This window comes from Homo sapiens, chromosome 14 (genome assembly GCF_000001405.40).
Source record: "Homo sapiens chromosome 14, GRCh38.p14 Primary Assembly".
Classification (NCBI taxonomy): Eukaryota; Metazoa; Chordata; class Mammalia; order Primates; family Hominidae; genus Homo; species Homo sapiens.
Window position 1 is genome coordinate 41438190 of NC_000014.9, and position 17789 is coordinate 41455978.

Here is a 17789-nt window from a genome sequence, read left to right on the forward strand (position 1 = left end):
AAGTATTTAGTATGATTCAATTTACATGTAGTTTAAGAAATTCATTGTCCTGAAAATAATGGCTTGGGTCCTTGGAGTGTAATGGTCACCAGAACAAGACAGGAGAATATCAAGATAAGAGAAATGTTCTATGTCTTGAACTTTGGATTATGGTTACATGGCTGTTTATATTTGTGAAAGCTGATCAAACTATGCACTTAAAATCTATGAATTTAACTGTGTTTTTAACATACCTCAATAAAAAATTCCAATTTATTTAATAATCAATTTATGTGTCCACTTGCGTGCCCCAACACTCACTTCATCTCTAATATTTCCCATTAGTCAAGAAAAAAAGCTAAACATCTATATCAGGTTTGAGGGTTTCAATTATTCATATGACTCACCAATATAATAATCCGATAATTCTATCATTGTTTGTTAGATTCATCATTTAATGGTATTGAAAATAATTTCAGTGTGGCAAAAAAGCCATGTTAAGGCTTCTTACATGTCACAATCGAATTCTAGGCAGCCATACTGATCCTTTAAGCAACCTTTGCTACTTATTCTTTTGATAGAACAGCTTTAAATATACTGGAGCGATCATAGAGTTCGCTGATCCCTGACTCAGTTCTGGGAGGCAAAAAAGAAACGCCTCTTACTAGGGCAAATATTTTGATCATGTTACTTACCAAATGCATTGTGACGCAGCCTTGCTTAAAGTTTGTGGATTATTATTTTTCCAAATGAAAAACCAAGTCACTCAGCAGAAACCTTTCCAGAGGAATCCTATCACAACAATTTTGGAGATTGTTGATGGTTTTCAACAGAGGAAGTTAACACAGAATGTATATTTTACTAGATTGTTTTCTAGTTGCAGAGAAAGATTAATACATGACTGTGAACAGGAATTATCTGTTCTTACCTATCGACCGAAACATATATTTATCTATAGCTTGTAAAATCTTTTATAATATATAAATATAGATGCACAGTTGCCATCTTCATAAAAGATCTTGTTTGATAAAAGTTCTTATGGAATATATTAGCATCAAGATTTTTGCTTTTCTTTTCTTCCAGAAGTTGAAATAAGGCTGAATATTTTTGCTTTACATTGTTAGTTGATGGCACTAGCAAAAATGAACATGATAACTGTTAGAATTTGTAAGATTCTCAGGAGTGGCATTGCTGTTATGTAATTTCTTTTCAGAGGATTTTTCTCCTAGAATCATTTTTCTCTTACTGTTTCATGATGATAATAGAGTTTTGTAGTTCTAATTTTTATAGTGCGTCTGTGTACATATCTATCTATCTATCTATCTATCTATATATCTATCATCTATCGATCCATCCATCCACACATACACACACTTACATAAACACACTCACCATGCATTGGATATTTCTGCTATGGAATCATTATACAGATACTTTGAAACTCTAGAATGGTTTAATTAGTAAGTAGATTTCAGGATATACGATTTATTAAAGCTTTTATATTCTGTGAGTGATAAACTAATTTAATCTGACATTCTGTCCAGGATATGTGAAGAGGGTGGTAAAAAACTAAATAAGAATAAATAAATTAATAGGCATATTTGATAGATAATTTGCCATACATTAAATTTCATTTCAACTATCATTAAATAAGTACCTTGAACACAAATTAAATTCAAAAAACATAAATTGAACACTAGGTTAGGTACTGTTAACTTAATAATAAATTAAGATTACAAGAAAATTCTTAACTTCAAGGAACATACAATATAGCAAATAAAGATATGCCTCAAATAAGAATACAAACATATCCTCACTTTATTAAATAGTAATTAATCTTTTATTTAAAAATGCACACTGAGTGCATATACAACATGCAATGTATGTATAGTGTACGCAATGCACCCAGAATTATACCAGGTTCTGAAGCATCAACAGTAAGTTGGACAATGTTTTTTTCCTAGAAAAGCTTGTATTATGGTAGAGGAGACAGCCAGATAAATCAGAAAGTACAAAGTAATGTGGCAAATGCTCAGATGAAGTTCTTTATTCTAAGTAAGCAGAAAGAGCTAAGTGAATGATAGGAAGAACACCTAAAAACCAGTCTAGGTCCATCGAGGGCCATAGAAGTCTTTCCCAGGGAAAGGGATGTTTAAGGATGAGTTGGAAATGCTAGACGAAGGCAACGAGGAATAACAAGAATTTCAGGTGGCAAGAATGACATAAGAAATGCCTCAAATTTAGAAAAAACAGAAAGACACTTGTAAAACCACAAGTACAGGTTGGGCAGAAGAACACCAATGAAGAAACTTATTGACATTTTAATAACTTTGTTTTTTATACTTGAAATAGAGTGTCTTGGATGAGGTCTACAGGCATTCATAGAAGAAGCCAATCAAGGATCCAGAAAGTCTTTATGTAGGAACTGAAGTTTGAGATAAGTCTTGAAATAATAATATTATTTTGATTGGCAGAAATGAGAGCAGAAAAAAATTAGTGTTTTGAAAAAAAGTGAACAGCATTAAGAAAAGGAAGTAAATTTAAGGGTAGATTACATTTGTCTCTTTCAATAGGATTATGGCATATGGAAGAAAAGACTGAAAAACAATGGTGAAAAGGCACACCTGAACTATTGTTAAAGGTCTTGATGAACTGCATAAGATTCCATAGTATTTCTTGATTAAAAAAATACTTCTCTAACATAGTCTTTTTCAGTTAAGAGAGGAAAAATAAAATTTTAAGGCATGATTAAAATGTTCTATAATTTCATTTGTGTGATGGTTACACAGATGTATACATATTTCAGTACTCATAAATGTGTATACTTTAAGATTATGCATTTGTCCATAGGAAAAATACCTAAAATTATAAATATATAAAAAATGTTTATGTACATACATATAAACCAAGAGCAAGCAAATCCATGATTAAGGAAATAAGTTATAGTTGCTTTGTTTGATGGTTATCATTGCAACAATTTATGAAAAGAATATATATGCCTCTAGAACATAAAAACATACTTTCTTAAAATAAAAAAATATGTTTTATCAAAGTGATAAATACTCAAAACTTCAAAAGCCAATTAAAATAGTACATCATATAATAAAAAACACATCACTAAGATATTTATAAAGGAGAAAACCAGGGTTCGAGTCCAACTTTGATAACCTCAAATGTCATGTTCTGTCCACTATATCATAATTACTATCTGGTTCAACAAATACTAAAAGTACTACAAGATTAAGCATTCCTTATTTCCCTTCAGTCACAAGTACAAGCTACCCTATAAAGATAAACCCATGAAAAAGACATAAGTATAGATAAAAGACATATAAACATTTATATGACTAATGGCTAATTACTAATAATAACTCAGATGTAAAAATAATTTTATTACAAATGTCCTGTGGAACTCTGCAGGTTCTATTTTATATATGGAAAATACTATTATTATGTAATGTGAGTTATACAGATATGAACATATTTAAAATATACTTCTCTATTATGGTTGGAAAAAAATAAAGACATGAATGGCACATTGAGAATGAGGTCAAGGGTCTTTCAATATTATATTTTTTACTAAAATGAGTTTACGTTGAAAAATCACTGAGACAAATGACTGTGATTTATTCACATTTGTGGTATTAGTAGAAATAGTTCATTTAGAAAAGCATCATGTCTATGGAAAGGCAGAAAATGGTTTTGGTTAATGAAAACATATAGAAGAATTTCTTATTAGATGCATGGATAGATCTATTTCAAATGAGCACTAACAGCTGCTCTGCTCATATTATTTGGAATTCTCCCAGTGCCTTGCTGGTCACAAACATGCTTGGCTTCCTTCTTAAGCAAGTCAGTAAGTACATGGACTGTAATTGTAAAGTAGTTTTCCTACTAGAATTAGTGAAAAGATTCAAGGAGCACAGCTCTAAAATGTGGTTGTCAAATATAATGCAAGACATTACCTAGAAATGAAGCCAGAAAAGTTCAGACCAGAGAAAAAAATTAGCCCAGATGAGGAAACAAGAAAAAGAAAATCCTAAACTCTTGAATTAAGACAATGGTTTTAACACTTACTCCATGAAAAGTAACTCTGAGTCATGGGAAGAAGCAATACAAAGTGTTCTATAAAGCTGTATATAAATTCAAGGAAAAGAGCTGATTGCAGATATTTGATTTCTAACCCCAAATATCAGTGGTAATCGGTGACTCCCTGTTCTGAAGTACAAAGGCAGCCATGTGAGTACATGACATCTATCTGTAACAAACGATTTTCCTCATGTGTGTCTCAAAGTAATGGAGACCCTTCTGAGACTCATAAAAACTGTGATACCAATTCTGTTGATTTACTTGGTAACAAGTGACCAGAGACAGAATAACCATAGTATCCCTTTCAAGTAAGTAGAATTTTATATACACTAAACTGAAATTTAGGCTAAGAGTTCATTTTTCCTTGCAACTGAGTACCATGATAAGTGGATAATAAACAGTAGGTTATCCAGTGGAATAAAATAACTGTATTTGTGCTGAGTGCAGTGGCTCACGCCTGTAATCCCAACACTCTGGGGGTCCGAGGAGGGTGGATCACCTGAGGTCAGGAGTTAAAGACCAGCCTGGCCAACATGGCGAAACCCCGTCTCTACTAAAAACACAATTAGCCGGGCGTGGTGGTGGGCGCCTGTAATCCCAGCTACTGGGGAGGTTGAGGCAGGAGAATCGCTTGAACCCAGGAGGCAGAGGTTGCCGTGAGCCGAGATCATGTCACTGCACTCCAGCCTAAGCTACAAGAGCAAGACTCCATCTCAAAAATAAAATAAAGTAAAATAAAAATAAAAATAAAATTTTAAATTAAAAAAATAACTGAATTTGATGGCAAAAAATAAAAAACAGTGCCCATCAGAAAAAGGTATAGGAAATTTTTACTATAAAAGAGATTTTGACTTGATCAGCAGGGCTTTAAACTGAAATTCCAGAGAAAAATATTAAAATACCCAGTTGCAGAAAAAAACTGCATTCTATGTAGAAAAGTGGACTTGACATAGAAATAATTATAGAAGACATATTCAGTGATTCTCAGTATAATTTGTTAAGAGTATAAAGGAGTACTGAGACAAAATGTTAGAACTCTCTGCTTTAAAAGTATGGGCAGAAAATGGAAGACGTAACTGGAGCAATGGTTTTCTACTCCCTACTTTTTTATTGCTAAAACACGTATGATAGATGAAGTTCACATGCAAAATAAACCCCAGTGGGGATACCCTAATCATATGTAATCTCTAGTGTAAATTTTTGTTTTTCATACACATGAGAAATATGCTAGTATCAAAATCTGTGGATAATGATATTATTATAAAAATGATCTTGAATCTGTTCAAATTCATTAAAGAAACAAGCATGGCCTATGCTTCTGCCACATTGACCTTCATGTTTCCTAAACATTACAATTTTCTGCCAATTTCAGGGCCTTTGTCTGTGATCTTAATCTCCTTCTTCACCTTTTAGGTATTAGGTTAAATATTTCCTCCTCAGATAGCCTTGCATTTACTACCTGTGTAAATCTGATACAGCCTAATACTCTTCATGAGAGGATTCTATTTTTAGGGTACTTTTCATAATTTGCAATATGTACAATTAATATTTTTGTTATTATTTTCTTCTTTTTATAAATTCTAAATTACCTGAGTGTAAGATATACACTACATTTTGATAATCATTTTATCTTCAGAGCTTATATGTGGCACATAGTTTATTAGTTTTTACCTCATCCATAATTATGGTATTATCAACTTAATGATACCTAAGTGTTTCCTTTCTCTTTAAATAAATTTAACAGTAACTTGGCTATTTTAAATGATTTATATACTACTATTTGAATTTATCAAATTTATGCTATAATAATTTCTAATTCATTAATTCATTTTTATCAGCTTATTTCTCCTGTTTCTTTTTACATATTTTGTTATACTTTAGCAACTTTAGCTGAATATTCAGTTTTTTAAAAAATATGCATTTGCTTTTTTCTTTGTTCTTATCTACTTGCCCTTTCTAATAATATAAGCATTAACTTTTATAATAAACAGTGTGTCTTATTTCTGTCATCTTGCTTTATCTGTTCTTTTACACTTCCTTTACTTCCTGTGCTTGGACATTTACTTACTTACTGCTTAGTGTCCGGTGTTTTAGAAATATTAGGAATTTACTGTTACTCTTTCCATAACACATATTGGTTAATATATTGTCTTACAAATACTGTCATTCCAAGTAGGATGGCTCAATATCCTTTTACTCCCTGCACTTGACCCTCTGATGTAATGTTATCCATATTATTCTTATTATTGAATGGCTACTTTATAAATAATTCTTGATATTTGCATAATGAGATACATAATTGATAAGCCTGTTTATTAACTCACAGTACAAATCTGAAATATAGTATATGTAATTTATTATATTTTATATAATATACATTTCTATTTTCATATAATTTTATATTATTTAATATAATATAGATGTTTCTTCATATAATTATATAGTTTATTATTACACATATAGCATTGTTTGTGTTTCAAGTGTGCTAGCTAGAAATCTTGTATCACTTTTTGATGTCTCAGTCATATCATATTAACGGGCTTACTAGACCCAATTGCAGTTAAATTTGTTTGTAAATAGAAGAGAGAGTAAGTTGCAGCCTTTTGTTTTCATGAGGGCTGGTGATCTTCTTTCTTACTGCTATATGGTCAATCCTAGATTTACAAACAAGTATATGTTTAGCTGCATATCTAGCTCCCTCCCTACCCAGGTTGCAGCAGTGCCCCATGTTGACGGACAAGTTTAAAACAGTTTTTATTTCACATATGCCTGCCTGTATGGTGTCCCACTGTGGCAAGTTCGTTTGGCATGGAGATTCCAGTATCTACTCTGTATGAGGGCAACCCTATGATATAAATAAACTCTTATGTCTTTGTTTTAAACCAGTGCCACAGACTAGACTCACCCTTTCTTCTGAGGTTTTATTGCCCTTATCACTAGACATTGATCAAACCATCATTATTCATTCTAACATATCCTCCTAATGTGACCTATTATAAAACAAGAATTTGTGGCCTATCTTTCAAAAAAAGTCATGCCACAAGAGAAAATCCTAGACTTCTATAAAATAACAGCATAACAGAGCCAAAATTTATTGAGCACTACTATATACCAGATCTTATTCTTAGTATTTTATAGGTATTGACTCATTTGTTAGTTTATTTATTTTCAAATGAAGAAACTGAGGCATGGAAAATTTGACTCCAATTCACACAGCTAGTAAGAGACAGAATCAAGAATTAGCTAAGCTCTTGACTTTGGAAACCACGTGCTTAACTAGTACACAAACAAGCACTCAGTTACAAATCAGTCTGTTCCCTTTTCCAGATCCCTATAGAGCAAGACAAACCTCAGCTCTGCATAGTTCCACAAGACAAAAGGTGTATTTGTCCAGGACTATAGATATCTACTATGTTTACACTTGTATAACAAAGAGAGCTACTGGAGTTTTTTTGTAAGAAAATAAAGATTTGCTCAAAAGCAACCTTCCCCACTTGCCCGCTGAAAAATTAGTAATATTTTTATAGTTGACTTATAATGATAGAATAAATTTGGTTGGAGTCAGTACACTTACATCCTTATGTTCCTATTCTTAATCTATTGTTTTGCTTTATTTTTCATGTAATTAGAAATTATGAGTTTAGATAAATATGTTTCAATCGTATAAAAATCATAGACTAATAATGTTGACATATAAATGTATGTTATACACACACACATATATATATATAAACACCACACACACACATAGCTCACTTAACAGCTCTTGTTAAATTTCTCTTCTAAAATAAAAGGAAGAGATATTGAGAAGACATTTACATTCTAGTGAGAACAGAAGATGGTAGATAGATAGATAATATGCAGCTAGAGCTCAAGTGAACCCAAGCTTTTACTCAAGCCTAAATCCGTAGAAACTCTGCTTCCTGCTACCATGACTAGAATTCCTCTTTTAAATGGTATTCTCTTGTGTTAAACAAAGCAAATTACTCGTCATAAATTTACATCCCTTTAGGATGACAAAGTTGCAACTTGGAAAGAGTCTTGCTCTCTGAATTACCATGCAAAAAAAAAAAAAGTCACACAACCAAGGAATATCCATGCTGAACTTTTTTCCTAGGGTAAAATAAAATTCTATTGCTTTAAATTACTGAATATATGAATACATTTTTACATCAGCTGGTGTACTCTAACCAATAATCTTCAAATAAAGTAATGTTTCGCTAAAAATAAATTAAGAATTTAATCTTAATAAAGAGACTTGTAAATTATGTTGTTTTGTGAGAAACCATATTTGTTCATTAGGCTATAAAATATGCTTATTATAGGAAATTGAATTCGATTCATTAAGCTGTAAATAAAACCAGCAGTCTTCTAATAATTAAGACAGAAAGATGAGAGAGAGAGAGAGTGTAAAATGTTTAAGACTATTTGTCAACTCTCTACTCTTTGATTTCTCCCACAATTCCCATGCCCTTCTGAAATATTTTCCATGGAATATTTGTCATATGTGTTTTACATTTTTTCCAAAGCCTATAGCTTGTCCTTTCAGGTGATTTGTGGTGTTTTTAATTTTAGAGCAGTTGTCATAAATGTCTATATTATTTCTATCTATATAGTTTCTGGGTTAGGATGTGTGTGTCTATGTGTGTGTGTGTGTGTGTGTGTGTTGTTCTGAGGAAAACCTTTTCTACCTACAATTATACTAAATTGTGTGCAAGTGTAAATATACATAGACACACACAAAAGTGAACATACATAACATACATATCGTTTTGACCTTTAGCATGTCTAGACTTGGTTTGGTATAAGATAGAAATCTAACTTGTTACGTATTTTTTCTGAATGTATTAAAATAATTTTAAGTTTTACATTAAGGATGTATAATTTCTCTCCTGATTTGACAATCTGATGTTACCATAAATAAATACATCTAAGCATCTAGCTAACTATCAGTTATAGAGGTTTATCCAGTTGTTTTTGCATATTTTCTTAATAGGTCTCTCAGAAGGCTGATTTGCAACCTGTAAATATGTGTGGAGCTTAATAAATGGCAGCTTGGACTTAGGAAGTGGTTGGGTGAGTCAGCTAGTGAATGAAAATCCTGGAAAAAATAATTTTGTTTTGAGCACTTTTATCCATTCAGCAATCTAAACATTATAAAATTCTGAGATTAGAATTTGGCTCATATTAATTCAGAACAGAATAATCTGGACTTCCTCTTATCTTCTTTCCATTAACTGTAACACAAATATGGCAGTAACCAACCTTTAAACATTCAGCCAAGGACAACAACTGGAAGAACAGTAAGCCATAAAAGAAGAGAAATTTGGTGTCTTGGTAATTTGGGGGATATCTGTCCCATAATCCTAGATATCACATAGTAAAGACAATATTTTGGGGTCACTGTTACAACAGCTAATAAAAATCTTGGAGCATGTCCAAGTTTTTTGGGGGCGATAAGAATAATAAGGCACTTCATGAATAACTCTTTTTTGAATGTTAAATAACCTTATCAGAAATTTTGACTCATTAGTCATAGTAGCAAATGGACAGCATTATTCACCAGTAATCTTGGGATATGAAAAACTTTCCCACGATCTTCAGAAGAGAAGAGAAGGTATTCAGGAGGATATCATAAAAATATTCAAATATTTTAATATAGAGATAATACAGAATATATAAAAATATTATGCTTTTATTCTGTCCAAGTATATATCAAGGGATATTTATGTAGTAGGTACCGTTAAACATTTATATTACGGTACATATATCATATTATATTAATTACTTAGTGGTTAGAATTAGGTATTTTACATTTTGACATGCCAAAGACAAAAAGAAAATAATATAATACATAAATGAACAAATTAATAAGTTAGTATATAGTTGATATCTCTGTAACTACAACCAAGTTTAAGGAATAGAATATGGTTCCCACTCATTCCCACCCCAGGACACCCTTCCATGTGCCTACAAAATCAAAATGACCTTCCTTTACCTTAGAGTTAACCACTGTATTGACATTTATGGTGAATAGTTTCTTATTTTTCTTCATAGTTTTCCTGGAAATATGTATTCCAAAACACACTAGTTAAGTTCTGCCTGCTTTTTAAATTATACTGTATTTTTTTTATGTCTGGTGTCTTTCACTTAAAATTATGTTTGTAATGTTTATCCACTTTGTGTACACTATAGTTTGTGCACTGCCATTATCTAACATATTGTAATGATGATATCACATATGAAAATCTCTGATCTTAATTAACATTTGCATTTTTTTTTTTTTTACAATTCTTAGCTATGACAAATGACACTGCTTATAAACATTCTTCTATGTCTTCTAGGACACATACATGGGCACATTTCTGTGCATATAAACCTCGCCACACTGCTGTTAGCAGCGTGACATGGTACAACCACCCTGGAAAATGGTTTGGAGTTGTTTACTAAAGTTGGTGTTGCATACTTATCTCTAATCTGCTCTGGAGTCCATTCTGTTAATTCCTAATATCAGTCACTTTAATTGGTAGTTCTAGAATTTCTGCTTGATTTTTTTTCCTAACCTGCCATGTGATTTTTTATGGATTCTAGTTCTCCACTTCAACTTTTTGGAATGCCTTTTACCTACTTGAAGTCAAGAGATAGTTGTTTCAGAGTCTATTTTGATAATTCAAATATCTGAAGACCTAATTAGAGTTTTGCTATTGTCTGATGTTTATCTTTTATGTTTTTTTTTTAATGTTGTCTGTTTAACATTGTGTGCTGGCATATAGGTATTTGCACACACAGACACATAGAAACACTTATAAAAATAATTTGAGAACTAGAATGGGGTTATTTTCTCCAAAGATAATTTTTGTTTCTGTCTATCGCCTGAAGGCACTACCAGATATAGGTCGGGCAATATTCTGGGCCACCAGACAACACAAAACCAGGAAGTGCTGCAGTCTCTGTGATTACTACACATGTCCTGTGCTATTCCAAAAGATTAGGCTTCTAAGTGACAGCCCAAATAGGAGTAATTAAACATGACTCCTACTCTCGGTGAAACTTGGAATCCAACTTTTGTTTACTTAGACTGACAAGGATTTCAAATCTATGCTAAGGCCCCAAGATGTAGGTCAGCAAATTATCCCAAGGCAAAAGTCCTGTCAAATGCCATGTCTGTCTCACTGGATTTTTACCTACTCCTGAACTTTCACCAAATGATGCTTGTCTTTCTTATTAGCTCTTTAATGTTTTTAATACAATTATTTCTTCTATGTTTTAAAGTTTTCAATAGTGAAAGATTTATTGATTAAATAATTTGCTATTACAGGCAGTAAAACTCTAGTTAACTTAAAGGTAAATTTATGTATCTGATATTATTAGGGCATAGGTTCCTTGACAACAAGAATACCATCAGTTTTTAAAAATACTATCACCACTTCCTTATCACCACAAATAAAGGGCTCAATGAATATTTGCTAAGTGAAAGAATAAAAATTGTAAACCCAGTATTTAAACCATTTACAGTTTAGTAGGAACTTCACATGAATTTTCAATTAATCAAATCTAGTGAAAAGCTGCTGTATTCCCAGTATTGGAAGAAACTGTGAAAAAACTAAAGCTGTTGAGAAACTAAAATGTGCCTTCTTGGGAAGGAGATAACTTACTCGCTGTGGCCAGAATGAAAACATATGTTTTGACAATGAAGGAGTGTAGGAAATGCTACCTCAAAATATGCTACTTTTGTATACAGATTACTTAACCAGAGGGCACTTGGGGCACAGCAGATGCAGTGTGAGGCTTTCTCTGAGCTCTCCTTATCTGAATAAAGATCCTGCAAAAATAACTCAATTGTCATCAGTCTCCTCCCCAGGAGTTTCATCAACCAGGAGACTCATATCACAGGAGAGGAGAGGAGAAATTGACACCCCGGCCAGAAAGACTGTCACAAAAAATCATCTTTTCTCCTAAGGACCTATTTATCTTTCCAAAACATTATTTACCTTCCCTTAAGTTGCTTACACAGTCCCCTCTTCCCCCTTCCTTATGAAGAGGGCATATGAGCTTCTGGATATCACTGGGCTTTGGGATATTCACCTTTCTTTCCTGTGATGCCCCCTTGCAAGTAATAAATTTGTATAAATTTCTCCCATTAATCTGCCTGTTGTCAGTTTATTTCATGGACTCAGTTATGCACCCTAAAGGATAGGGGAAAGTCTTCCCTCCCTTAAATCAGTATATTCATAGGAATTGAGGGGTTTTTTTGTTTGTTTTTTTTTTTGTTTTGTTTTGTTTTGTTTTTCGGACTAAGTCTCACTCGGTCACCCAGGCTGGAGTACAGTGACGTGATCTAGGCTCACTGCAAACTCTGTCTTCCGGGTTCAAGCAATTCTCATGCCTCAGCCTCCTGAGTAGCTGGGATTTCAGGCATGCACTACCACATCCAGCTAATTTGTGTATTTTTAGTAGAGACAGGGTTTCACCATACTGGCCAGGCTGGTCTCGAACTCCTGGCCTCAAGTGATCTGCCCACCTCGGCCTCACAACGTGCTGAGATTACAGGTGTGAGCGACCGTGCCCAGGAAAAATTGATGATCTATTTCCTTAATAGTTTGAAATATTGTTTAAAAGTTTCACAAGAATTGCAAAACTATGAATGCTCAAATCTGGACAAGTATTAGTTTTCATCAGTGAAATTACAAGACTTTTAATTATTAATAAAATATCAAACTGGAAAACCAGGTACACCCCCACAAACAGAAAGAAAGAGAGAAAATGAAAGAAAAGATTTAGAAGGGTCAAATATCAGTGCCATTTCAAGGTCATTCAGAGAAAAGTAGATAGTTTGCTATTTCCTTTGAGGTAGGATAGAAACAATAACTGCAGAGCAGAGCTCATCTAATAAATATCCCTCTGATATGACTGTAGCTAAGCACATCATTGTCAAAGGCTTAACTATTTCTTATTCCCTGTCATCAACTTTTTTTATCCATACCAATTAGGAGGTAAACATAATCAATTCTTCAATGACACTTCATTCATTTAACAAATATGTATTGAGTTTCCTCCATGTCTCAGGTACATTCCCAAACACAGAAGATACACAATAGTGAACAGGAAAGGGAGCACTGCTGCTCTCATGAAGCTTACATTCAGTAGCCCACAAGCAGACTGTGAGCAAGAGAACAAACGTAAAGCTGGTTTTGACCAATCATAAGTGATAGAAGAAAATGGATCAAAATGAGGTGATAGAAAAGACTAGCTTTATATTTGATAGTTGAGAAAATCCCCTTGTATGAGATGAAATGACATTCAAAGAAAAAACTGGATGGTGAGAGAGTATAAATCCTGCACAGATCTAGAGAAGGAGAGTCTGAGGCAGAAGAGATAGCTGATGCAAAGTATCCAGAGTGAGAACAAACTCTGGTCACCGGCAAAGGCACCTGTGACAGAACCATTAAGGATGACAGGATGATCTGTACAAGATGAAATTAGAGAAAATGGCAGGGATCACAAACAACTTTGTAAGACACACTTCAGGGTTTTGATTTTATTCTAATTGGAATGGAAAGCAACTAGTGGGCTTTAAGTAGGGTAGGACTATAATCTTAACAAAGTTTTTACAAACTCTATCCTGCTACCGTGTAAAGAATAAACAATAGTGGAAGCAGAAAAAGCAAGATTTTGCAGTTTCCTAGATCAACTGAAACAGTCTCTACTAAAGAAAATGTAGCGTTTACTATTTTCGAATGCTTATTACATTTAGGCATGGAACTTTCAGTTCATCAGATTACAGTTTCTTATTAAAATACTCCGCTTTTCTTCAGTTTCAACATGTCTTTTCCAGGAAATGATTTAACCAAGTCTTATTTACTATCAATCTAAACACATATATGTTTAGATTATATATATTATATATATTTTAGAATATATATGTTTATATATTATTATACATATATTTACATTACTTCTCTAGTTTCCTAAATCTCTTATTTTCTTTTATGGCTTTAGTACTCAGCAATGTAGAGAATGGTGTTATTAACATTTTGGGTAACTGGGTTCTTTCCCCAGAAAAACGTATATGCACATGAAAATTTGCAGACGATTTTGGAGGATTCACAGACTGCCTCAATTACATTGATGAAAGCCCCCAAATAAGAAACCTTGCTATAAATATCTCTCATAATCTTTTCTTAGATGTAGCTGTCTTCCATTAAAAACAATTAAGAAATTATTTAATGAGAAGATGATAGATATAAGAAGTAATAAATGCCTCAAAAATTAGCCTGATATAAAATCCAATGGCACAAATAAAATGGTACAATTGCAAAGAACAATGGTCATAACCTGGAATCTGTAGTTCTAATGTTGATTATCATTGAATCATATAGGCATCTTTACATCAAAATATTTTAAGATAAAAATCAAATTGGATTAACATAAAGAATGAGTTTCAACTGTGCAAATAATATAAAAATTAAATTATCCTCTGATACTGAAGTAATGTTAAATCAGACGCTGTGATTTACTGGTAGCTGTATTTTTCTGAAGTGATTTTAAAAGGTAGAAAATGAGCAAATACGCTCACACTTTCTAATTTTGATCTTAAAAGTAAAACACAGGTACTAATGAGAAACTCTGGTTATGGGATCATTAGCATGCAGCCCAGATACTAGTGTTTTCTCCAGTTTTAATAAATAATTGTGTAACCATATTCTCTAGCTTGTGGTAAACAAATCATAAAGTTGAATTGCCTTAAAAGGCAAACCAGAAAATCAACACTTAGAAGAAAAAGCAAGCCTTTATTTTTCTTATAAATGTGACTTATAAAGGATCCTTATTTTAAATGTTCAAATAGATCTCTCAGCATATACACTTACGTTTAATAATCACCTAACCAAGAGCCATCTTTTAAAAACAAAAATTAGACATACTTGATAGCAAACAGAGAAAAGATTCAATTCAATATACACCATTGAGCAAACCTCAATTTCTCAGCAAAAATTGAAAATTGAAAGTGCATGAACCATAGCTATTAGGCTTTCATGAACCCAGTAAGTATCATTATTGGGCTATTTAGGTGCTTTTTGTAATATATCAAATATTGTAATTGAAAGAGTGAAAGACAGATAGTCCTATTCATTCCCCTCAATATTAGATAAAATAATAATCTGAGGCTTTTCTGTGTCATAGGCAATCCATTAAAGGTTATGGAGAAACTGAAGGTCAATGAATAATGAAAAATATATTCATATAAGCAGGTGGAAAAACCCGGTAAAAATAAAATAGTAACAAATAACACTAAAATATTTAGTGCTTGCTTTGTGCATGAAATGTAAATTTAGAAAAATTATATAAATTGGATTTTTAAAATCAAGCACATAATTTTAAATGCATTAGGGGAGATAGCTTTGGAAAATAATACCACTCTGAAAGCTTGTAGAAAATGGGCACTTTTTCATAAAAAAATGCTCTGAACCTTCCTACTCCCATCTGTAGTTCATGAGCATTTTAAGAATAGGATAATTTTAACAAAGACACTAAGAGGAATAATAGTAGTATTTGCAAAACAAAAATCATTCATATTCAGTCTTATAAATGGGTTCCATAGAATTCCTTAAACCAAGAAGGGTTACACTCATTTGACTTACAAACTGTTTCGTTTTTGTGGTTTTTTTTTTTTTTTTTGAGTACATATTTTATGACAAACAAAGCATTTTTGTATATAGTTTTCTGGAAGTAAAACTCTTCATTTCACAAAATTTAGGAAGTGTCTTCTATGTGTAACGAATTAATTTTGTGTGCTATATATGAATGAGATGGAAAATTTCATTAACATAAAGTACTATCACTAAATTATTATTTAAAAATACACAATGTATTGAAGTTGTTCTGTAACTGTTTTTTAATGTTTCTACCAAGTCAACATTCAATGATGATATCTTAGGTCCCTTTATCTCTTCATGAAAGTGTTTGTTGATTCTATCTACTCAACCATCTCCTATCAGAAAATAAATGTAATTTGAGTTTGTCATTGGAAAGGTTTTTAGACTTCCTCATTTTTCCGGGGCAAATATCTCCAAGATAAGACAACCTTTAGCTTGTTTATATGGACCACATCTGAAGTTGATGCATTGTTTAACAGAGTATATGACTCTTTCTTCTGCATGGTGGAGACAGTCTTTTGAGAACGGGAGAGAAAAACAGGACATAGATAAGAATTGGAATAATTGGTTTTGTCACTTAATTGAAGTCATTGTGTACATAAAAGTGACTTGGAAGTGGGGACAGGGATATTCAAGTTGGTTCCAACAAGACCAGAGATAGATATCTAACTAAATAATTAAAATTCAATTTGACCAGTAGTTCTATGAGAATAGTAAATACAATTTATGGAAGGTCATTGTCAATTTAGACTGAGCATCTGCATTAGACTCCAAAAGACCAAACCAAAATTAGTCACTCATGCTAAAAGTTCCATGTCATCAAACTGAAATTAAGTTGTTTATCTGACCTTCTGAGAAATCAGGAGAGAGATGATAGCCAAATCCCCAAACAGACCAGTTTTAGCCAGCATGATAAAGAAATCGCCTCTGCTTTAACACTTACAAGGCAAGTAACCTAAGGCACCCTGATGTTAACCAGTCATCTTTTTTTTATATTACATTGTTTCCTTGTTCCTGCTCAAGTTATCTTATAAAAACTGACTGTTCTACTATTCCTAATGGTGCACCTTTCAATATTTTATAGATAGAGTGTTCCTCGATTTATGAGTCACTAATAAAAGACAATTATATTCTTAAACTCAATTTGTTGAAATTTTGTTTTTTGCAAAGAGGCAGGACTGTGCAGGATCATCCCTACTATGAAGGACTAATGAAAACTTTAGAGAAAATAACAGATCTGAACCTTTAAGGGTCCCTGACCAACCCTGAAGTACCCATGGTCTGAGATAGTGAAGAGCAAAGTCACAGCAACGCTTCTAAATACAGAATATAAATAAGATTACTAGGGAAATTGTAATACTTGATGAACATATTGACCACTGAAATTGCATCCAAAAGACAATAAATATGGAAGAAAAATCCATTAATCCTACACGTATTTTCCAGAAAAGCATGTGTCCTTAACCAAACAGCATCTACACAGCCAGCTCCACAGTATGAGAATTGCTCCCTATGGTGAGCACTTCTGCTGTCTCCAATCTTCATCATTATCTCCTATTGTAAGTCCATTTAAAACAGAAGCTTCATGTAATCAAAGCCAGGAGTGAATAGATGTGATCATTAGGGTATTATAGAGATAGTTTACAAAGTAGAAGGTTAAACACTCAGGTTCAAGGACTACCTGGATTTTGATCCTGGCTCTGGTACTTGGTAGCCAAGTAACTTGGCAACTTATTTAAACAGACTGTGCCACATTCCCTTCACTACCTAAATCCTAGAATTGCTATTCCTAGAAAAATCAAAAGACTATCTGTACCATTGTACACATGATACAATTTAGATTAGACCACTGTACTAAACCTTTGAGGGTTTTAGTACAATGTATGATTCAGAGCTTTTATTATTTTAGAGCATTTGGTGCAATAATTAGAAAATATGACCAATTTTCCAAATAAGAATCTGCCTACTTTATGGTACTTAAACCACCTTTGTAGAAAATTACTATTTCTATTCTCAATGGCAAGGGGAAAAACATTTAGTTCAGTTAATTGAAAAATGACTATAAAT